At 39.7% G+C, this 25668-nt stretch overlaps 1 pseudogene; it reads left to right on the forward strand.

Annotated features, from left to right (window-relative positions):
- The window catches only part of ANOS2P (anosmin 2, pseudogene), a 168317-nt pseudogene that overhangs the window by 113749 nt on the left and 28900 nt on the right, over positions 1-25668 (forward strand).

Here is a 25668-nt window from a genome sequence, read left to right on the forward strand (position 1 = left end):
TGAACAGACATCACCCTTGTGCTCAATACATTTGTTTAAGGCTGTTGGTCTGTAAGTGCCATTCAAGATTAAAACCTTACTGCGAGGGGATTGGGCTGCTTGGGCTGGCTTCTGGTGAGTTAAGGTTTCTTCATAGGCTAGAGTATTTACTGTAGCTGTATTTACTCTAGAGGATTACACACGGGAAAGACAAAGAGCAAAGTAAATTCTGAAATCTCAGAGAATGTGCTCTATTAGTTTGAAGAACTGGTCATCTTTTTTTTTTTACTGTACACCAAAGAATCAAGGAAATAATGAAATGTTATCTGAGGCTACTATCTCTCTTCTTATCCACATACCCTTTCTGTAGAACTATTTGTCTGGCATCTGCTGGCCAACCTTCAATGCAAGAATGATACTAAATGATCACTTTGTTAAGATTTGTTTTTCATCACTCTGAACAAATTTTGATGGCTTTTTTCTTGACACAAAATATAGAGAGCTACTTCTATTAAAACCAATAATCAATTAACTTTGGGATTTCTATCCTATCAGGAATTGATCTTTTATTTATTTTTGTAATGAGTTAGTCTATGGTCAATGCAATAAAAATGTTCTATCTTGTAAACATTTTGGCATTGCTTTATTTTCTCTTATTTATTTTTTGTAAAAAGCAGAGCGAATGTACGTGTGAGTAACAGGACCACGCTGGAAAAGAGATCTGAGCTGCTTGAAACAATATATGATAAATACGGCAGTACAAAATAACTATGATAAATCTTCACCCTTCCCTTGGTGACTTTCAAGCAGAGTAGGGATTATCATTTTTGCAATGGTTAGCATAAATATTGCACTAGTCTCTTATTTCCACATATTCTTGAAGGAAGAGTAAGAAAGTAAGTTTTGCTATTTGTTCAGCAAATATAGGCTGTTCATTGAACATTTGCTATTGCAGAAGTTTCTCTTCTGGGACATTGTGAGGTGTGGGAATGAAGGAGACATGGTTTTTGACCTATGGGGGCTATGGCTTAATGGGAAAACTGGCATCATTAAATGACTTTGCTGCAGCAAGAAGCAGTTAAACGCATGTCTTGACAGTTAGAGGTTCAGCATTGAAGGGGTCAAAAGAATAAAGCCTTTATTTCTGACTGAGAAATTTAGGGGATGTGTCACAGAGTGGTGGCATTTTTTCTGAGCCTGGAAATATTCAAGGTCTTTAGTTAGAAAGCAGAAGGCAAGACATTTCAGAGTGAAAAAAAAATAAACACCACAAACAGCCCATGGTTTTATGAAGTACCTGGCAATGTGTTTCTAGGAAAGCTGGGTTTGTAGATAATATCTGTGACAAAAATTAAACAGATACTTGGAGGTAGACTGACAAATAAAATGGTAGCCAATCATGAAGATGGATGCCTTGAAGGGGATGTCAAGAAGTTTCTCTTCATTCTATAGAGAATAGGATACAATGAAAGAGTTTGGGAAACTGAAGGAGAGAACCTCACTTCTACTTTAGAAAAATAACCACAAAGTACCAATAAGGGGTCATTAGTGAAAGAGATTCAGGTGCAGGGAAATAGGTTGAAAGGCTGTTGTGAAGGTCGGAACAAGGAGGGGAGTAAAGTTGGGTGACCACCATGGCGACACAATGATTTGTAGATTCTTGAAAATGTATTATGCAATAAAACAACTAAATGTTGTTAGCTTCAAGAACATATCAAAAAGATTCTAAGATCCCTTAGCCATTCTAAAGAATAAAGTTGTCATAAAGATAGATATCCCAGTAGAAGGGACATATCTGGAACAGAAAAATTCAGCAGGCAGGTGGAAAAGATGGTCTGCAGCTTAGCCAGGGATTAGGGATAGACTGGAGAAACATTTGCTTAGTAGCAATAAGCTAATCATCCAAGTCAAGGTACCCCCATTGCTATGATTATGCACTGAGAAGAAAAGTTTAGGATACAAGCTTGAAAGAAATGCATGTCATGGCAGAACAGGAGTCAAAGATTGACTTGGTGAAGTCCCAGATCCACCAAGAAAGCTGAGGATCTTAGAAGAAAAATATCCAAAGGATTTGCATATCTATCAAAACCACTTCTATCTTCTGTCTCTCTGTGTGGCCTTTTCTATTATGAAATGTAGAAAGAAGCAGGTATTTCAGAGAGAAAACTGAGATCAGATCGTAGCCCCAGGCAACTTATTTAATCTTCCTTAGACTCAAATATCTCCCATTCAATAAGTAGATAATTAAGCTTTTACCCACTTCACAAATTCCCAGTAAGGATCAGGAGAGACAAATTTATTGTAAATTAAAGGTTGCTACTCAGCCATGACCCATCGGCAATAAAAAAGGAGAATGCAGTAAGTATGGTAAACATTTTCTCTAAAAAATATTTTTTGAAAATCAGCGACTTTGACCATATATAAATATGCTTTTTAAAAATTATTCAACTCCATCCATCTAAATCTTTGATGACTTTAAAATTTTTCTAAACCAGGCTTACCGTGAATTAAGATCCAAATGAAAGAGGAGTTGAAATTCAGCCATGTCACCAGCATGTATCAAACATTATTTGCATTTTGTGTTTGCACATTTTCCAGTTTCTTCTGCGTTTAAACTTACAAAATAGAAGAAGAAATCAAGCATTGTTAAATAGCCTTTCAAATGAGTTTTCAGTGCTTTCAGCAAATGACCATTGTGGACAGAAAATGATATTAATGGTAATTGGTGTTCTTGTTGTTGATGGCATTCACCATCATGGTGACATAGATTCTATCTTATTGAGTTAGTTTTGCATATTCTATTAGTATTACCAATTTCTTAACAAATTCCCTTTCGGAAATGTCTGCTATTTTGAACTGTGGTTCTTCAATATATCAATTACCAGACAACTTGCATGTACAGAAGGTGAGTAAGAAATCAGAATGATTAACTACTTTAAAATGAGACATCTATGAGAAACTTTTGGAGCAGTGCACTCACTCATGCAAAATCCAAACATTATAAATTCATTATTTTCCATTAAGACTATGGTGGAGTGCTTGAGCAGTCATTGCAGAATCTAAAAGACTTGAGCTTTGAAAATCACTCAGGAGATTTCACATGAAGAGATTTCACTTTGCAGTGTTTTCTTTCCTTAAATGGAAAACTCCCTGAGAAAGAAGGAAGATTAAATCTGGAAACCATGTTATAATGACCTTAGAATGTATCAGTAGACACAGAGCATATTAAAAAATGGGAAAATGACTTGAAATGCTTTATAGTGATCTCATAGTGTGAATTCCATGTTAACCTCAAGTGAAACAACCTTGTAACATGATTTATTCAGAAGAATGCACATGAAATGACTGTGTAGAGATTACCAAGGAATAAATCACTTGTTCAGAATCAGGAATCAGTTTATACTCTCTAAAAAAAAAAAAAAAAAGAAAAGTTAAAACAAAAAGGAGCAAATAGCTGAATGGAGTGTCAGAAGACTTCAGAAGTGAAACCCTGTATGAGTATGAAGAGGCCACTTTTATGAAAGGAAATCTCAGTTGTCATCAGATCGGATTCATCTCTTCCAGATTTGTTCTTCCTCAGCTTATACTTTGAGTCACATGCAGATTGTTTTAATTGATATTGTCCTGTTTCAGGTGTCCCCCTGAAGCCCAGAGAAGGGTTACAATTTACAGAATTGCCGTCTGGACAGCTGGAGGTAAGTGGTCCTCCAAATTCCATATTCCTATTGAGCCTGTGATGTTTGTGGTACAAAGAAGGTGGAATTATGGAATCCATCCTAGAGAAGACAATGTCACTCATTGGCAGACAGTGGTACAGGTAAAAGCTTCATATAGACTTTGATTTTCATCCTGGAGGTAGTGTCTGCTACATACCTCCGCACATAAAATTAACTTGCTATGCCTCAAAATAGCTTGACTACAGAAATTACTTACTCATATACGGAATAAACAATATAAAGGTCTGCTAAAGAGAGGATGAGGTTCACAGATACAAATGAATATGCTCAGAGGCTCAACCATTGGAATAATTTCTCTGAAATATACATAGAAGGTAGATAATTTTATAATCTGTTCACATGTATTTTCTCCAAGAACCACATTTCCCTCAGCCAAACTCAAAGCCAATTAGAGTAAGGGAAATGAAACTTTATGAGGACTAATTTGATATTTAATCATCTAAATGCCTTCTCTTCTGTTTCTCCTGCCTTTATTCCTTTATCCCACCCAGACTTAAGGAGCATGAGGTAAGATTTGTATTACAAAATTACTTATTGGGACATAGCCAGCAGCCCATAAACCTTCACCAGTGATTTCTTCTTTGTCTTAGTCAGCTTAAAAACTGATACACCATCTGCATGGCAACACTCCCAGAGTTTATCTTAACACTGAGTCTTCATCTTCTGTCTTGTTGATGAGAAAAGCGAAATGTTATCTTCTTTCTTTTTACGAGCCGTTAAAAGCACAACCAGCTGCTACTTGCTGCCTCCCACCACATGCACACACACACACACACACACAGAGACACATACACACACACAAGAAACCATACATGGATGTAAAAAGTAACAGATTCTGAATATGAAACTGTTCCATGCATTTAGACAATGAAAATGCCTTCCCACATTTATGTCTATAGGAAAAAATTGTCACCTTAAGTTGATTAGGTCATTTTTTTACAAGGACTAGATTCCTATATTTTTGTTAGTAAATGAAAAATAAATGTCATTATTTAGGTGTTTGCAAGAAGAATATTTTCTAAATAGCACTATCTCAAAGGGGTTAAGCACTAAAATAAAACAATGTAAAAACCCCAAAATAAGAAGTTTGATGTAAAACAACAACAACATTAAATTAGAAAAAAAAAAAAAAACTGGTCAAATCAATTCAGTAATTCTATTCTATACTTATTTTATAAAAAAACTTTGCTTCAATAAAACATAAAGCCACTCAGAATACAGCCTGAAATTCCATTTGATTTACATGCCATACTTTCCTAAATCATGGTACAGATTCATTTGAAATTTTTCCAAATTAGTTGAAGATTTATGAAAATAACTGAAAATAAGATAATCTCTTTTGTCTTCAAAAGATTTTTGGAAAGACAAAAGCTCTTTTATTGTTGTTGTTGTTATTATTTTATCCTGTTAATGCTACATATAATACCTCCTTGTCTGCTAAACACTGTAGATACCATGCCGACTTTAAGCTTTTTAAATTCACAGCTGAAACTCTAAATGATGAAGTTGAAACTGTTTTCTCAAAGTCTGCCAAAGCAGGTAGAAAGTTACATGTAAGAGTTCATATTCTTCCTTTGTTCTCAGAAATGTTATTTTAGATATTGATGTAAACATGACAGTCGTTTTCATGTTCTTATAAGCTGAGGTTGTTATAACCTCAGTTATTATAAACAAGTGTAGGAATGTTTAAATCCAATCCTGTTTCCCTAGTTTCATCCAAAGAGCAAGTTGAGTTCAGCACCTGGTGTAGATGAAGGCACAGACTGTAGGTGGTTATTTTTTGGAATTCAAGGCAAAGGTTTTCAAGATCCTACCAATGGAAATTAAACACAGAACATTGTTGAAAGCAGGTATATAGTATGAAGACTATTAAAGTTATTTGATATCTTAAAATTGTAGCACTAGAGACAGCAAAACCTACTGATCTTCCCCAGTGTCATTTTTCCCCTTTTGGGCATTTTATTGAACAAATACATGCTAACACATTTCACCCTTTATGATCAAGACTGGTTCTTCACAGACGTTACGTGATTTACTCAAAGGTTTTTTTAAACAGTGGCTCAGGTTATAATTTACTTCCAGAAATTGTTAGTGGTCTTTAAGCATGTGGGTTGTTATAGCTATTTTTATAATTATATTTGGCATGTGAGTTAAAATATTTTCTTTCTGTAACCTGGAGGTGATTTCATCTTCTTGTCTGTAATGTAACAATGGCTACTCATAAATATTCTCTGTTGATTGAATCGCTCAAATGCTGTAATTAATCACCAGATTTACAAATAGCCCGAGCTCTTGTCATGAGATTTTGACTTCAAGAGATGTTTAATTCTTTGGGGTGAAATATAAGTGATTCCTTGATCCCTGACAGCTCTCTTCATAACTGGGCATGATAAGCAGCACTTATCAGAAGGAAGACAGGCTCAGCTGCACTGGCTGATAGGTTAGTGTATTTTTCTAAACAGATCCAACCAACATGTGAGAATAAAAGGTGACATGTTCCCTGTGCTCTGTGAGTTCAACTGACTGACATAAGACCCAACTGACGGTACCAGTTTCGAGTGGCTGCTGTGAATGTGCATGGAACTCGACGCTTCACTGCCCCCAGCAAACACTTCTGTTCTTCCAAAGGTTAGTCTTAAATACATACATACATGAATATAGATTCACTGTCACCATGTTCATATTTATGAACCCTGTCTTAAGACTCAACAGGTGGCTTTGCTGTTTTAAAGAATGGGACCAGATGTGTTTGAAGGTACTGTGCACATTTATGGTTAAGGACAACTTGAAATTTTGCCTGCAGTATGTCACAGAAGATAACATAAGGGAGTTTTTTTAAAAAACTTTGAAGTGGCGGGGGGTTTTCATTATCAACATCTGTTGAGTTTTTGGTTAAAGATATTTTGCATTAAGCACTATTCAGTTGATTTTCAAAGAGAAAGACTGAATTTAAGCTACTCTAGACAAAATAGTCTTCCTTGAAATGATTGTTAAATTGAGAGCGAATTTGACTCCTCCCTTTGCTTCATAACATTTAGAATTTAAACCCCTCCCTAGTAATTTAATCATTGCTATAATTTTGTTCAGTTCTGACAGCAATGATATTTTAAAATCTCTGTGGAAACAAATGAACAGTATGTTACATTTGCAGTTAATCTGTGACAGTTGAAGCAGGTTTATTTTCTAGTTGCGTCCATATGGCTGTGTACCTTCCAAATTTAGACATCTGCTTGACTAATTTCTAAGGATCTGGTTTCACAAATATAGATTAGTTACCTTGTTCTCCCACTAATCACAAGTTATCTTCTTATGCAGAAACTAAATTTGTTTTATTTTACATAAATTTATTGATTGTGACATTAATAAATAATGTAACTGTTTACATTTAAAAGCCTTTTAAAATGTGTGTGGGGGGGGGGCTTCTTTTTCTTTTCTTTTCTTTTTTTTCCCTCCTAAGGAGGCAAATTCATGAACTAAGCAAACTTTAAAGTGAAATTGTAAATGAAGACATCAAACCCTGTCTTAAGACTCTGTCTCCAACTGATCTGAAAATTTAATGAGGCATGTGAAATAATTAATTGTGGGTTAGTAGGCAGTGATCAATAAAAAGTTTCAGAATGCATCACCTTAAGTTTTATGGTTCAAATGGGATTCAGACGTGTTGTGGTCAAAAATGTGTTACCATCTGTTCAGTTGCCTGCAGGGTTTGGGCTGGTGCTCTATGAACAAGACTGCAAATTCAGACATCGGATGGAAGCTGTTCCCAGCCTCTAGAGACAGATGCTTAAATAATTTCCTGTAAGAGTTGTGGTGGCACCTCTTGTCTAATGAAGGTGGTTTTGCTCCCATGATTTATTATACAGCCTTGCTATTCTCATGATCTGGGCAGAGATCTTTTGGCAGGGCCAGGATCTGGGGGAGAGTAGGAAGGTCAAGCTGTTCTGACGCTTTCTGGTATATCGGAGCAACTTAATAATCTAGAATGCGAACTCTATCTCCCAAATTTAAGTGGACTTTTATTTAAGGAAAATGCAACTATTGTAGTTATCATTAAAATGTTGTTCTGTCACTGTTACAAATACACCTAAAATTCACACGTCCATGTATCTCATTGTGAGGAACATTCCAAGCTTTAGTTCTTCAAATCTTACAAACCAAAAATGTCTGCACAGAATTAACAGAAGATTCCATTATATTTTAAATATAGAAAATCCCAGAATGACAGGTTTAACATATCAGACAAAAGGTGGTAGACATTCCCTCTATGATCTCTAAAGCCAACTTAATCACTAACAAGGTGGGGCCACATCTGTTTCTCATTCTCACCAAATGTCGAAAGATCCTTACTGGGAAAAATGCTTTAAATAACTTTACTGAAATATAATTTTTATGTCATAAAATTCACTTATCTTCTGTTGTGGGAAGTCAGGGACCCCAAACGGAGGGACCAGCTGAAGCCATGACAGAAGAACATGGATTATGAAGATTTTATGGACATTTATTAGTTCCCCAAATTAATACTTTTGTAATTTCTTATGCCTGTCTTTACTGCAATCTCTAAACATAAATTGTAAAGATTTCATGGACACTTATCACTTCCCTGATCAATACCCTTGTGATTTCCTGTGCCTGTCTTTACTTTAATCTCTTAATCCTGTCAGCTGAAGAGGATGTATGTTGCCTCAGGACTATGTGATAATTGCATTAACTGCACAAATTGTACAGCATGTGTGTTTGAGCAATATGAAATGTGGGCACCTTGAAAAAAAAACAGGATAACAGCAATTGTTCAGGGAATAAGAGAGATAACCTTAAACTCTGACCGCCGGTGAGCTGGGCAGAACAGAGCCATATTTCTCTTCTTTCAAAAGCAAATGGGAGAAATATCGCTGAATTCTTTTTCTCAGCATGGAACATCCCTGAGAAAGAGAATGTGTACCTGGGGGTGGGTCTCTGAACTGCCCTCCCGGGTGTGGTTGTCTCTTTTGGTCGAGACTGCAGAGGTGAAATAGAGTCCAGTATCCCATAGTGCTCCCAGGCTTATTAGGAAGAGGAAATTCCCACCTAATAAATTTTGGTCAGACTGGTTGATCTCAAAACCCTGTCTCCTGATAAGATGTTATCAGTGGCAATGGTGCCTGAATCTTCATTAGCAATTTTAATTTCGCCTCAGTCCTGTGGTCCTATCATCTCACCCTGCCTCCACTTGCCTTGTGATATTCTGTTACCTTGTGAAGTACTTGATGTCTGTGACCCACACCTATTTGCACACTCCCTCCCCTTTTGAAACTCCCTAATAAAAACTTGCTGGTTTTTGTGGCTTGTGGGGCATCACGGATCCTACCAACGTGTGATGTCTCCCCCAGACGCCCAGCTTTAAAATTTCTCTCTTTTGTACTCTGTCCCTTGATTTCTCAAGCCAGCCGACGCTTAGGAAAATAGAAAAGAACCTACGTGATTATCGGGGCAGGTCCCCCGATAATCTTCAAGTGTACAGTTCAGTGACTTTTAGTATTTACTGACTTGTGCAACCATCACCATCATCTAATTTCTGTTTTTTCTATTTCTTTTTTTTTTTTGAGACGGAGTCTCGCTCTGTCGTCCAGGCTGGAGTGCAGTGTCGCCATCTCAGCTCACTGCAAGCTCCGCCTCCTGGGTTCACGCCATTCTCCTCCCTCAGCCACCTGAGTAGCTGGGACTACAGGAGCCCACGACCACGGCTAGCTAATTTTTTGTATTTTTAGTAGGGATGGGGTTGTACTGTGTTAGCCGGGGTGGTCTTGATCTCCTGACCTCGTTGTCCGCCCGCCTCGGCCTCCATCATCTAGTTTTAGAATGAGTCCATCACCCCAATAATGTCCTTTATACCTTACTGGGAAAATTTAAAGTTAGAAATAAAGTTAATTTTGTGTCTTTAGCTTCCTTTATTACCCATGTATCTGAACTGCAATCCCATGGAACGGGGAGTATCCTGCAGTTTGGTGCTTAATCTATTTCTTAGAAAAACCTATTTTTTTTTTTTTAAAAGGCCAAAAGCATAACAGTCACAGTGATCGATAAATGATTACTCTCTTTCTGGAAATACGAGCATCCCCAAGGAAATTAAGGACTTTTCCCTTAAGCACTCTTTCTCTCAATAGCCTCCATTTGAGTAATCGGCAATGCTGCTCTTGCAGCAGTTTGTGGCAAAAGAGGCCTGCAGTCATTCTCGACTCTAAACATTTTCTGCAAGCCACCGCAAATCCTCAGATCTGCCTTGATTCACCTTTCCCTGTGTTTCCCCTAATCCGCTCAGTTCTGTCTTTAACTGGGAATTGTATTAGCTTCCTAATCACATCCCCACTTCTGCCTCCTGGCTTCTGCCTTAAGGCTTCTGGATTCCTGTTTCCTGATCGTGGCACCTCATTCCTGCTTTCGGATCCCCACTTCCGGATCCTGGGTTTCAGACCCAGGCCTCTCATCCCTGCTTCCGGATTTCCACTTCTGGATCCCCTCCTTTTTAGTCCTCTCTCAACACAGCCACCTGAGTGATCCTACTAAAATCTGAGCCACTTCCCGTCAGTTTTTTGCTCAACGTGTCCCAGCAGCTTCCCCCATCTGATTCAGAGAAGCCATGTTCTTTACAATGGATTTTAAGACCCAGTTGACCCCCCTTTCTCCTTCCTCTTAGACTTCATCGGTAACCTCCCTGTTTTCCTGCTCATCCTGCTAGGCTCCTCTGTGTTTTCTGAATACTATAATCTTTCCCTTGCTTCAGGATATTGACATTTGCTTGGTCCTGGACCGGGGATATGCTCTTCCTTCAGCTTGTTGAAAGGCTGTCTGGCTCACCTTCTTTATACAAATACCTCTTTTCCAGCAAAAGCATCTTTAGCCATGCTACATATATGTATAAACAAACAAGCAAACAAATCCATTTTCCTGTGTTGTATTTTTGTTCTTATTTTCTGTTATGACTGTCTACCCTGCCTTAGTATTTTGCTTATTAATCTTGTGCACTGTTTATCCTTGCATTCAATTAGGATGAATGTGTGTGTCTGTTTCTGTGTTTCATAAGACCAGATGTGTTTTCTTTTTTACTTCTTATTCCCACTGCCTAGAACAGTACCTGACACATAGTAGCTGCCCAACAAATCCTTGTTCAATATATGAGGAAATGAAACATGAGTAATAAAAAGAGAAGGTAAAGACAGAAAATGTTGTGTTGTTGTTTCTACCTTTAAATTTTCTCAGTAAGGGATGAAGGATCAATCTTTGTGGGTTGATGGACTCATTCGAGAACCCAGTGATGGTGATAGTTACACAACACAGTAAGTATAAGAATGTCAGTGAGCACTTAAGATGAGACAATTTTATGGTATGAAAATTACATATTTCAAAAAAGTTGTTAAAGACATTTTTTTTCCCAGTGAGGCTGTTTTCTACATTTGATGAGCTTGAGGAAGGTAGGAAGAGGTGCCACCATCTTGTTAGTGAAGTGGTTAAGTCTCCTTTAGACATATACTGGAGGGAGTGTCTTCCACCATTTTATTGATTCATTAAATTCCTATCATTCTGTGATGCATCTTTACTGAAAACGGAATCTACTATGAATTCAGTGCTTACATTTTTGATATATAAGAGTACAAGAACTAACACTTGGGATACACCTCAAATTGAGACACATGGAAATGTAAATTTTGAGTATTTGTCCACCTGAAGAGCTAGAACATTTTAATGATGACTGCAATGACTGCTATGTTTCAAAAAATGGTGCATTTTCATCCAATAAATGCCCATTTATACCTGTTTGCTCCAGACCTAAAACTGTACCAGTCTTCCAGTGGTTTATAATTACTTTAAAAAAACAATGACCACTTCCAATGTAGCTGTCTGTGCAAAGCCTAAGCAATTTTCTGTTGTATTTGATTTAGATAGAGAGCCAGGTTTGACAACTTCAGGCTGTGTCAAGGAAAGGGGGAAGGGTTTTTTTGTGTGTGTGTTGTTCGTTTGTTTGTTTTCATCGGCTATGAATACCTCAGGAAATAAAAGTATAATTAAACAAAAAAAAAATAGATAAAATGAGTTCCATTTAGTTTAGATTCACTGCTTGGGATTCATGAGCTATAAAGCTGATTTTCAGAGAAAAGCCAGACTTTTTGTCCTTATCTTTCTTATAGTTATTTTAAAATACAAAATTAGTCTATGTTTGCCAAAATGGATTGACTATTTAATTTTTTCTTAACCCATTTATTTGCACATAACTTAGACCTAACTCATCTGTTTTTATAGTAAATTCTAAGTTATTCATAGGTTGGTAAATTAGTTTCATGCTTTTCCTCTTCTTGGTGAATAACATTTCTGAATATTTTTATTGCTAACTCTCTACCAGAAGAAATGCATGAATATAGAATGGGCAAAATCATTAACTTTTGTAAGAGTTTCAGATAATTTTTATATTTGCTTATTTAAATTAACTATACTGTATTTCCTCCTGGTACTTGAGAAGGGAAACTGGCTTCAAAATTAAAAATGAATAATAGTTTAATAGATTAATGCCTAGTTCTCATTTCTACTTTTCATCTCTTTATTAAGAATGTGGGACTGCTTCCTTGTACCAAGTAAGTTACCTTCACAGGTCATTCCTGAGCCATCAGTCCTGCCAGATCCTAAGGTCTACCTAAACTTTTCTGTCCCATTCCATTTGGAACAAACACCATAAATCCTCTGAGCACAAGGTGTTAATGTGTCTGCATATTCCTATGTAAGTTGATATTTGCCGCTTTGAAATGCATGTCTGACAAATAAATATTGCCCACCAAAGTTAAGACACCTTCAAAAGCTGATCCAAGTGAAGGCTTTGAGTGTGAGCAGGTTAGTTAGGAGGTGAACCAGGAATGTGGTAGGTAAGAAGGGAAGCAGAGCAGGGTGTAGAAGTTTTGCTGGAATGAAGGAGGTCCAAAGAGACCATGGGGTGAAACAGGATAATTTAATCGAATGCGCTCAGACCCAGCGGATTAACATCCAAAAACTGGGCCTAGAGCAAAGACAGTGCTTGACTTTTATACACACTTCAAAAAGTGGCTGGGCTAGCTTGAAACAAGCTTACAGTGGCATGAAGTGTAGTGACATGAAAGCAAGGATACAGAGGCAGAACAAAGGCAGTTAATCAAATAGTAACAGGTTCATAACTCAGAATTACATGTGACTCTTGCTGTGCAGTCCATATGGCTGTTACCTAGGCTTGCTCTAGTGCCTTGTGTGGGTTTGTCTCATAAACTTCAATATGGTGCCTAGATGACTGCAGCCCAGGCCTGCTGAGGCACGTCTTATAACCTTCACCTTGCTGCTTAGATAAAACAGAATACTTGAAGTTACTAGTTACAGAAAACAGGAATGTATAAACTCATACGTTTACTCATATCATAGGGGAAAGGAAAATTTATTTTCTTCTCCCTATATTGAGGGAGTGCTGGGAGAGTCTCCACAACACAATCCTTTGAGCCCTGGCTTCTTTGATAATGTTATCAAGACTTTGCCTGGGTCTGGGCTTTGCCTGTTACTGCCTTTGGGATGTGTCAGCCTAATATAGAAAGCTTGTTTGTGAAGCACAAACACCTCAGAGCTCCTCACTGGAGGGGATTAATAGTGTTATGGTGTTCTAACACCAGTGCAGTCCGTCACTGTCTGCAGCTGTTCCTAGTGTATCCTGTTTGCATGCTGGCAGATCTTGCCCTGAGCCCAGACACAATGTTAGTTAAGGAGGTACAGAGGTAATCAAACAGGCATCCCTTTCTAGTTTCTTTTTTTTGTTTTTCACCTTTCTCATTTCCCCACATTTGACAAGCTTTACATTATTGCCCACTTCTTGGAATGAGAAGACCGCTAATGTCTAAACAATAGAGAGCTCAAACTTTATGAATAACCAGTTTGGAGTCAGGGTTACACATACAAAAATACTGTGCGCTTCATGTTGCAGTTGCTTATCTTTTTTCAGTAAATTGGTGTTTAACCTTTCCTTGATGTTGTTGTTACTTATTAAATGAGTAAAAAAATACATACATTGCATGCTTAGTATTGGAAGTATATATTGTGAAGTAGCTGCTACCTAGTAAAAAATAGTATTTACTTGTTTGCTGAATTTGGGAAACAATGTGTTTGTTTCTGGCTACCATGATCACATATCTGTGTCAATATGGGTAGTAAAAGAAGGAAGAGTTCCAATTTTGTGGATTGTACAAGGGAAAATCCAAATTCATTTTTTTGGGTGTGTTGCCAAAAGCAGGCAAAGATGTTTGTTCATTTGAAATTAGTTATCAATTTGACATAACAAAATAACACACTTTTAAGGGATCTTATGAAGAAACATGTAAAAATCTAACTTAAATTTTCTTTAACCTAGCATAATATCTTAGTCATCATATTCATTTCTCTTCAAATCCCAAGTTCTTCATCTATCTTTTTCTCCTTATTTCCCTATGTATGTAGGATACATTACAAAGGAAAATGAAGCAGACAGCATTGTTTTCACAGCATATAAGTATCACATGGATGTTACTCCACACATGCGTTACTGTGTCAGCAAAACTAGAGCAGACGTCACTGGTGGTAATAAAGTTCCCTGTTGCCCTGTGGGGGCACATGACTTTTTACTCTGTTCCACAGCGGCTTGGGATGTACTGTTTCTGATGGGCAAAAGGCTTGGCTGTACATATGTCTTGAAACTATTTAATAGTTGGAAATTTGCCTGCAGTGTAGCTTCAGCAGTTTTGCTAAGTTTTTTTTTTTTTTTTTTTTTTTTAATGGAGAAGGAATACTACCCCAACTGCTAAGTCTGGAAAGAAAAAAGAAAAGGTTAAATATTATTAGAACAAAACTTGTATTTAGTTTAAAACTATGTGACACAGTTATATTATTGTTTTTAAAATATAACTACACTTAACAAAAGTTATATACCTTGCAAGGTATTCTTATGATGCATTTCAGTGGGAAGTTTAATCTATAGACATTATTGGTAGAAATGAAATAAGTAAAGTCCACATTCATTTTTTGAAATGGGTATTGTTCTCCGTGTGTGCATGTGCATGTTTCTGTTTGATGATCTGTAATCGTTGCCCTCTTTATAGCCTCGTTTGCATGCTACTTAGTTGTTTTTTTAATATGCAGGCATGGGTTCCTGTATTTAACAAATAGTGTTATCTCAAAAATCCAGAGGAGCCTGCCTCAGAAAAAGTGATGGCATTTCTCCTGGGACAAGCAGAAGTGGTCTTCTCCCATGAGATTCCATGTCAGTGCACTAATACGCCTGCATTTCTCCAAGGGTGATAAGTGATTTTATTATCACTTTTATGCAACATAGACTTATAGTCCTTCCATCGTGTCAAACCTTCATGCTCATTACTTTGCCTGTTTGTGTCATGAAACACAAGAGGTTAAGTGATGAAACCTGAAATTTATCTTTCTGAAATCCAATGTTTTATCCTCCGGTGCTGAAAGCACCACAAATGATCATCAATAAAAGGAACTATTTTTCTTCAAGGCTGAAATTGGGTATACATGCTAAATATGTAGCATATTTTACATTGGTAATCACACAAATTGTATAGCATAGAAGGAGCTAATACAGCCTTTCTATTTCAGTTATCTCTGAAAATATTCTTGCTCTCTGCAGTGTGTTTCTGCAGATAATTGTGAGGTTCATAAGGAGGGAGTTGGCATCAAACAGAAAGAGAAGTGAGATGGGGGAAAATGCCCATATTTGAGACTCAGAGGAAGGGTTAGGAGAGCACTGGTCTTGTGGTGTGACTCCCATCCTCTCACTTGAAGATGTAGTAAATCAAACTCTGTTCTTGAAGTAGTGAATCAAACTATGATCCTCAATTTCACCATCTCTAAAATGAGGACAATAATGTTAACATTTAATAGACAAAATACAACTGTATGTTTGTAAAATTAGGAATAAACAGTGCTCACATTGTTTCCTAAACCTAACGTTATCACACTCTGAAATTTTCCTAATCAGGGGAGAGCAGTCGGTGGCCCAGGGTCTAAATTTGGCCTGCAACCTAGTTTTGCAAATCAAGTTTTATGGGAACATAGCCACCCTCATTTGTTTACATATTGTCTGTGGCTGCTTTTGAGCTGTGAGGGCAGAGTTGAGTGATTGTAATGGAGACCATATGGTCCACAAAGCCTAAACTCTTTACTATCTGGCCCTTTCTGGAAAAAGCCTATATCAATGCCTGCACTAGACTATTGTAACAGACACTTTTCCCATTAAAAGGCTTAGAATTTTTACATTCTATAGGGACATTGTTCCTCATTATGACAGTGGAATATAACATATGTAGAGTGTGGCACCTAGAGTTGTGTATTGTTATACCCTCCACCCCATCTTTCTCTCATTTTTGTTGTCACACTCCTTGTTCTGCCATCAATGATGTGAATGATCTTGGACATATCTGTTTACCTCTCTGACCCCTAAAGCCCTCACCAGTTAAAAACATGTGAAATAAGTTGTAAAATTTCTTAGGGCTTTATAATAACATAGAATATAGCGTTTCCCTCCCTGGCTCTCTGGCTCTCATCAGCCACTGTCTATTTATGCATATGTATATGTATATATGTGTATGTGTGTATATGTGTGTGTGTGTATATATATATATATATATAAATTTCACATGGAAATCTCCAACTACATTTCAAAATTCTAAAACAATTAAAAATAATGCATAATGAAAGAAAACATTCTGTATAATTTAGTCAAATGAATATACCTTGTTTCATAATGTAGGGAACCAATTTTTAAGGCAGAGAATGGCTTAAATATAGAAACTTGTTAGGATTGAGTAAAATGCTTCTGATTAGAGAAACTGGATTGACCCTGTCTCACCTGAACCCCATAGTGAATAAGTGGATAAATGAATGGCTGGTTTACAGAGGAGGATAGCAGCAATAAACAGCTGATCTCTACCATTCTTTTTTGGTTTTGTTTTCTTTTTGTTCTTTTTTTTTTAAGAGTCAGAATCTCATCTGTTATCCAGGATGGTGGGCAGTGGTGCAGTCATAGCTCACTGTAGCCTTGAACTCCCAGACTAAAGCAATTCTCCTGCTTCAGCCTCCTGCATAGCTAGGACCACAGGCACATGACACCAAGCCCAGCTAATTTTATTTTTTCTGTAGAGACAGGGTCTTTTGCTATTGCCTAAGCTGGTCTTGAGCTCCTGCCCTCAAATAGTCCTCCTGCCTCAGCTTCCCAAAGCACTAAGATTACAGGCATAAGTCACCATGCCTGGCCTGATTTTATAATTTTATAGTGATTATTTTGAGGGAGAAAGAGATGGGAGTGCATCATCTTGGTAATGGAAGTGTGCCATTTTGGTATTGTCAACTCAAAATGGGCCTTCCTTTTGAGAAAATGACAAGAAAATATTATTAATTCATATCTTTGAAAGCATTGTTTTCTCAAAAGTTGCTTTCATAAATTGCGTTGTTTCGTGTTTTACAATGTTTCATAAACTAGATGACATTATTCTGGGTTATTACAATGAGCAAAATTTTCCAGGGCAGGAAATGATGTAATGAATGAAATAAATTAAAGAAGATGATTAAATTCCTAGTACCAGTGACCCTCTTAAATATTGGAGTTTCTTTAGAAGAGGATGTGATTCTGAGGTTTTCCTTATGAACCTAGAATATCTGGAAAAATCATGTGACTACTTATTTTCAGCATGTAGATATTCAGACACATTGCTGAGAACACAAACGGCTGTTATTATCTTTATACATTTTAATTCTTCTCTTGCCTTGAAGTGATGATTCACTTGTAAGTTCGTTCCCTCCCGGGAAGGTTGGTAGCTCCCTTTTGTAGATTAAAGATTAACTCCTACACCAGTGGAAGGGGCGTTGATTTAATTATTTTATTTCAAACTGGGAAGAACACTCCTTTGATTTTGCAATTCACTTTAGGATCTTGTGATTTAGCAATGCTAATTGACATTGAACCTGAAACTGAAATATCACATTACAAGTCAAAAGTAACATTTAGAAGCTTGTCCTTCGTTTATTCACTCAGCAATTGCTTACTGAGCACATACTGTGTGCTAGGTGCTCTTCTGGACTCTGGAGAGAGATACAGATGTGAAAAAACAAGCAAACACTCCTCCTCTCAGGGAGCTTTCATTATCGTGAGTAGAAGCAGACAGCAAACAAGGTACCTAATAAGTCAGTTTGTGTATTAGTCATGGTTCTCTAGAGGGATAGAACTAATAGGATAGAGTATATAAAAAGGGGAGTTTACTAAGGAGTATTGACTCACACAATCATAAGGTGAGGTCCCACAATAGGCCATCTGCAAGCTAAGGAGCAAGGAAGCCAGTCAAAGTCCCCAAACCTCAAAAGTAGGGAAGCCGACAGTGCAGCCTTCAGTCTGCATTCAAAGGTCCGAGTCCCAAAGCTGAAGAACGTGGAGTCTGATGTTCGAGGGCAGGAAGCATCCAGCATGGGAGGAAGATGTAGGCCAGAAGACTAAACCAGTCTAAAGTTTCCACCTCTTCTTCCTGCTTTTATTCTGGCCACACTGGCAGCTGATTAGAATGGTGCCCACCCAGATTGAGGGAGGGTCTGTCTTTTCCAGTCCAGTGACTCAAATGTTAATCTCCATGGCACCATCCTCACAGACATACCCAGGATCAACACTTTGGATCCTTCAATCCAATCAAGTTGACACTCAATATTTACCGTAACAGTTAGTAATAAGGGCTTGGAGAATAATGAAGCAAGGCATCATCATGGTGACTTTTTTTTTGTAAATGGAACAAAGCATATATAGCTATTTTAAATAGGGTCACATTTAGTAGACCTTCAACAGGAAAAGGAGCCAGCCATGGAGACACCAGGGAAAGCATTTAGGCAAATAGACAGGAAAACGTCAGCAGCATCATGGTTTTCCTTTCCAAGAACCAGTGTGACTGGGCTGAGGGGTGGAGGTGATAAAATGAAAGGTGCTCTGGGAGGTAACTGAGGCACAGGTTGTAGGGCATTCAGGAGACTCCTAGTGGTTTTACTCCAAGTAAGGAACTTCTGCGCACAGGAATGAGATGGTCTCTTGCAGTATAGAATCATCAGGCTGTTGTATTCAGAAAAACCTCTAGGGAGGCAGTGGGGAGCTTTTGGCAGTAATCAGGGAGAGGTGATGTTGGCTTGGCCCAGGGCATTGGCAGTGGTGAAAGGCAGTTAAATTCCTGTTACACTTTGAAGGTAGTGCTAACACAATTTGTTCAAGGGATGTGTCTGCAAAATAAATGTATGACTTCAAGGGTTGGGGCCAGAGCAACTGGAAGAGCAATTCCCATGTACTGAGTTGGTGTCAGTAGTGGGCTGTGTGTGGTGGGCTATGTATTAGTGGTGGGCTATGTATAGGGATCATGATTTTGCTTTGGGACACATTAGTTTTGAGATGCCTCTGAGACCTCCAAATAGAGCTGCTGGAAGATATTTTTTGAGTATTGATATTTGAATGATTAGATCTGCATTCAGGGGCATGGTCAATAGTGAAGATATCAGTTTGAAAGTCATCAGCACAAAGATGTTTTTAAAAGTGTGACATCTGATGAGATCCCTAGAGAATGAGTGTAGATGAGAAGAGAGAGATCCCTGAATTCAGACGCAGAACACTCTCCTATCTAGAGAAGATGGGAGCTAAAGATCATGGAGCGTGGGGCTGAGAAGTAGCTTCCATTGAAACTGAATGAAAATCTATTAGTGTCCTGAAAACCAAGTGAAGCCTGCATTTTTAAGAGAAGAAAGTGATCAGTGTTGTCAATATTGATGACTGAGGGAGTCCTCAGATGGCACTGCCAAACTTCCAGGTTGGGGTGCTTCCTGTCCTAATAAGAATAGGAACAAATATTTCATCCTTACACATTGTGATGTTCAGACCTCATGGTTTGTAGCCACTTGATGTAGTACTTGTCTACTTTTGACCCTACTAGATGAGTTTTCTTAGGTCATCTACCTCAGTATTACCTGTGTGTTTCATATGAAATATTCCTGGATCCCACCTGCACTCAGGGAATCAGCATATCTCAGTATAAGTGTTGGACATTCCAGAGATTCCTGTTATTGAATAAGAACAGGTTGATTCAGAAATACCATTTGATCCAGCAATCCCATTAATGGGTATATACCCAAAGGAATGTAAATCATTCTTCTACAAAGATGCAAGCACATGTGTGTTCATTGCAGCACTATTCACAATAGCAGAGATATGGAATTTACCCAAATGTCCATCAACAGTAGACTGGATAAAAAAAAAATGTGGTGCATAGACACATAGAATACTATGCAGCCATAAAAAGGAATGAGATCATGTCCTTTGCAGGGACATGGATAGAGCTGGAGGCCATTATCCTCAGCAAACTAATGCAGGAAAAGAAAATGAAACACTGCATGTTCTCCCTCATAAATGGGAACTGAACAGCTAAACGATGATAACACCTGGACACATGGAGGGGAGAAACACACAGTAGGGCCCGCTGGGGATGGGGGTGGGAGAAGAAGAGCATCAGGAAGAGCTAATGAGTGCCGGGCTTAACATCTATGTCATAGGTTGATCTGTGCAGCACACCACCGTGGCATATATTTACCTCCATAAAAAACATGCATAGACTGCAAATATACCTTGGAATTTAAAAGTTAATTAAAAGAGAAAGAGAGAGAATGACTTGACTAACAGTATCACATAATATGCTTTCAGTTAACCTCTTACCTAAAAAAATACTATGAAGCTTTCTTTTCTAGAAAATAAAAGAAGTAACCTAACTAAATGTCCACACATTATATTTCATAGAGGAAAGCAAGAACTTTCAAAAAATAACTTATGTTTCCATCATTTCAAAACTACTAACTACTGAAAGTAAAAACATGGGATATTTTTTCTCCAGTCTTCTTCATTTATATCAAGTTAGATATGACTTTTTTGAATCCCCAACACACATGCTGTTATAGTGAGAATTATTGACAGCATCTTCCTGTGACAGTGTCTTGAAATGAAACCCTCTGTAAATCACTGGTGGTGAGAAGCATCTCCACTTGCTCAATTTTTAACAGAAAATGAAGTAAAAACCCTCCAGCTTTGCTATATTTAGTCTTATTCAAATACGTATTTTCAATGGAGATTTGTGAGGTGGTAATTCCAGCACCTCACCTTTCTCTTGACATCTGAAAATGTTTTCATTTATGAGACAAACCAGAAATGGTACAATCAGAAAAATGAATGCTACTGGTAAGTCATCCAGTGTGCAGTGTGGATAAAAAATGGTGCAGTTTTTTTTTCTGATCTCTATTACTCTTAGCTGATGCAAAAATCACTAGCTACAGGGCCACTAAGGTGAAAACAACTATTTGTGTGAGCTGAATTTCTTTTCCTTTTTAGAGTATTCAAAGGTGATTCTCTGTTGCTTACCTATTTAATGTCAATTCACCCACATTGAATTTTACTGTATTTTACCAAAAGATATCAATTTCAGCATATTAAAAATTTGGCTGGGTTGTCTTGGTATGGAAACGCTTAAAATGATCCTTCTGGATTACAAATTTGGACCAAACAAATTTATCTTACCATTTTTTAGATTTTTTATTTGAGGCTGAACAAGAAGATCTTAATAACTTGTTTTCAGCTTCACTTCTCTTTTACTCTTTTTTGGAGACTGTGTCTCACTCTCTTGCCCAGGCTGGCATGCAGTGGTGCTAATCACAGTTCACTGCGGCCTCAACCTTTTCAGATCAAATGATCCTCCTGCCTCAGCTTCCTGAGTAGCTGGGACCACAGGCATGCACCAACCTGCCCAGCTAATTTTTTATATTTTGTGGAGACAGAGTTTCACTGTGTTGCCCAGGTTGGTCTCAAACTCCTAGACTCAAAAGATTGTGCCCGCCTCTGCCTTGCAAAGTGCTGGGATTATAGACATAAGCCATCCTGCCCCCTGCTGTTTTCAGCTTTTCTATTTATAAAAATCAATGCTTCACATGTTGACCATGTAGTCATTACATGTCCAAAGACGTTAGTTTTGTGGAGTCATATGATGTGTCTTTGTTCTGGGATTTCAGATCCATCTGCCCCACCAGTGCCAGCTAACCTCCGGCTGGCCAACTCCACCGTCAACAGTGATGGGAGTGTGACCGTCACTATAGTTTGGGGTCTCCCCGAGGAGCCGGACATCCTTGTGCATCACTACAATGTCTTTTGGAGCTGGACAATCAGCAGTAAGTCTCTTGTACCAACAAAGAAGAAGCAGAGAAAGACTACGGATGGGGTGAGTGGGAACTGGAGGAAGGAATGCTCTTCTCACAAAGGGTATTTCCACTCAAGGCAACTGGCCTGAAAAGAGGCCTCTGCTAAACTGAGAGATGCCATGGATACAGAAAAGGTTCCCTCCCATTCATTTCTACCGAGGAAGTTCACAGAATGCAGGGGGCATGCCACCTATTTCACCTTTTATATTTTAGGTAGAAGCAACTGCATTTAGACTGAGGGGTGACAGCATGCTGGCAGCCCTCACAACCCTCGCTTGCTCTGGGCACCTCCTCGGCCTTGGCGCCCACTCTGGCCATGCTTAAGGAGCCCTTCAGCCCCCTGCTGCACTGTGGGAGCCCCTTTCTGGGCTGGCCAAGGCCAGAGCCGGCTCCCTCAGATTGCAGGGAGGTGTGGAGGGAGAGTCGTGGGTGGGAACCAGGGCTGCCCAGGGCGCTTGTGGGCCAGCGCAAGTTCAGGGTGGGCGTGGGCTCGGTGGGCCAGATACTTGGAGCGGCCTGCCCCTGCCTGCAAGCCCCAGGCAGTGAGAGGCTTAGCACCTGTGCCAGCAGCTGCTGTGCCCAATTTCTTGCCGGGCCTTAGCTGCCTCCCCGTGGGGCAGGGCTTGGGACTTGCAGCCCACCATGTCTGAGCCTCCCCAGTGAGCACCGCTCCCTGCTCCATGGTGCCCAGTCCCATGACTGCCCAAGGGCTGAGTGTGGGCGCATGCGCAGGACTGGCAGGCAGCACCACCTGCGACTGGGTGCAGGATCCACTGGGTGAAGCCAGCTGTGCTCCTGAGTCTGGTGGGAACTTGGAGAACCTTTATGTCTAGCCAAGGGATTGTAAATACACCAGTCAGCACTCTGCATCTAGCTCAAGGTTTGTAAACACACCAATCAGTACCCTGTGTCTAGCTCAGGATACGTGAATGCACCAATTGACGCTCTGTATCTAGCTACTCTGGTGGGGACTTGGAGAAACTTTATGTCTAGCTAAGGGATTGTAAATACAGCAATCAGCACTGTATCTAGCTCAAGGTTTGTAAACATACCAATCAGCACCCTGTGTCTAGCTCAGGGTTTGTGAATGCAGCAATCAACACTCTATCTAGCTACTCTGGTGGGGACTTGGAGAAACTTTATGTCTAGCTAAGAGATTGTAAATACACTAATCAGCACTCTGTGTCTAGCTCAAGGTTTGTAAACATACCAATCAGCACCCTGTGTCTAGCTCAGGGTTTGTGATGCACCAATCAACACTCTGTATCTAGCTACTCTGGTGGGGACATGGAGAACTTTTGTGTTGACACTCTGTATCTAGCTAATCTAGTGGGGACATGGAGAACTTTTGTGTCTAGCTCAGGGATTGTAAACGCACCAATCAGCACCCTGTCAAAACAGACCAATCAGCTCTCTGTAAAATGGACCAATCACCAGGATGTGGGTGGGGCCAGATAAGGGAATAAAAGCAGGCTGCTTGAACCAGCAGTGGCAACCCGCTTGGGTCCCCTTCCACGCTGTGGAAGCTTTGTTCTTTAGCTCTTTGCAATAAATCTTGCTGCTGCTCACTCTTTGGGTCCGCACTGCCTTTATGAGCTGTAACACTCACTGTGAAGGTCTGCAGCTTCGCTCCTGAAGCCAGTGAGACCACAAACCCACCAGGAGGAATGAACAACTCCAGATGTGCCACCTTAAGAGCTGTAACACTCACTGCGAAGGTCTGCAGCTTCACTCCTGAGCCAGCAAGACCATGAACCCACCAGAAGGAAGAAACTCCGAACACATCTGAAAATCAGAAGGAACAAATTCCAGACACACTGCCTTTAAGAACTGTGACACTCAACATGTGGGTCTGTGGCTTCTTTCTTGGTCAGTGAGACCAAGAACCCACCAATTCTGGACAGATTTTGGTGACCACGAAGGGACCATCACCAATCGCCAAGCGGTGAGACTATCACAGAGCAGTGAGACCATCACCTGTTGCTGAGCAGTGAGACAATCGCCTTTCGCCACGCAGTGAGTACTGTAAGACCCCTTTCGCTTGCTATTCTGTCCTATTTTTCCTTAGAGTTCAGGGACTAAATACCAGGCACCTGTCGGCCAGTTAAAAGCGACTAGCATGGCCGCTGGACTAAAGACACAGGTGTCATGCTTTCTGGGAAAGGGCTCTCTAATGACCCCCGGACTGTTCGGCGTTGGGACCGTTGGTTTGCTCAGAACCAGCTTCTGCTCTTCTTGTACTTCTGGGCTGCGCTGAGGGTTGACAGAGAGGAAAGTCATGCAGCTCCAGGGTCCTGACAACAAGTTGGTTGACCCTGCGGCCATGAGCGGAACTCTCAAAGCATGTCGCCCAAGCGAGACTCACCCATCTATCCTATGTATCCTGACCCTTGCCCCCTGGGTCCTAATGCCTGCCAGACAAACTTCCTCTTGCCTCTCTTCTCCGAGGTTAGTCCTGCTTCTAAAAATTGTTACCTGTCTCTGGTGCTTTTCTAGTTTCTCCTATAAGAATGATTTCTAGTATAAACTCCAGGACTCTGTTACCTTCTTTAGGCACCCAGGCTTACCAGTCAGAAGACATAATTTTTGCCCAAAGCCCCATCATAGTGGGGACTACCTGGAATTTTAGGATCCCTCCTCAGACTAACAGGCCTAACGAAAGCTATTCCTGAAGCTAGGATATGGGGAGCCTCAGAAATTGTATCCTTCCTATTCATACAAGTGAAGACAAAAGGTGTCACTCTTCCAACCCTGGAGATCCCTTCCCTCCCTCAAGGTATGGCCCTCCACTTCATTTTGGGGGCATAACATCTTTATAGGACAGGGGTAAAGTCCCAATACTAACAGGAGAACACTTAGGACTCTAACAGGTTTTTGAGAATATGTCGGTAAGGGCGACTAAATCCGATTTTTCTCGGTTGGTCCTCCTTGTGGTCTAGGAGGACAGGCAAGGGTGCAGGTTTTCAAGAATGTGTCAGTAAGTGCTGCTAAATCCGACCTTCCCTGGTCCTCCATCTGGTCTGGGAGGAAAACTAGTGTTTCTGCTGCTGCGTCGGTGAGTGCAACTATTCCAATCAGCATGGTCAGGGACCGTTGCAGATTCTTGGGCAGGGGTTGTTTCTGCTGCTGCATCGGTGAACACAGCTATTCCAATCAGCGGGGTCCAGGGACTGTTGTGTGTTCTTGGTCAGGGGGAGAAACAAAACAAACCAAAACCATGGGCGGTTTTGTCTTTCAGATGGGAAACACTCAGGCAGCAACAGGCTGTCCCTTGAAATGCATCCTAAGCCATTGGACCAATTTGACCCACAAACCTTGAAAAAGAGGTGACTCATTTTTTTCTGCACTACAGCTTGGCCCCAATATTCTCTCTCTGATGTGGAAAAATGGCCACCTGAGGGAAGTACAAATTAGAATACTATCCTGCAGCTTGACCTTTTGTGTAAGAGGGAAGGCAAATGGAGGGAAATACCTTATGTCTGAGCTTTCTTTTCATTGAGGGAGAATACACAACTATGCAGAGCTTACAATTTACATCCCACAGGAGGACCTCTCAGCTTACCCCCATATCCTAGTCTCCCTATAGCTCCCCTTCCTATGAATGATAATCCTCCTCTAATCTCTCCCACCCAGAAGGAAATAAGCAAAGAAATCTCCAAAGGTCCACAAAAACCCCTGG

The sequence above is a fragment of the Homo sapiens genome, chromosome Y (genome assembly GCF_000001405.40).
Source record: "Homo sapiens chromosome Y, GRCh38.p14 Primary Assembly".
In the NCBI taxonomy this organism is placed as follows: Eukaryota; Metazoa; Chordata; class Mammalia; order Primates; family Hominidae; genus Homo; species Homo sapiens.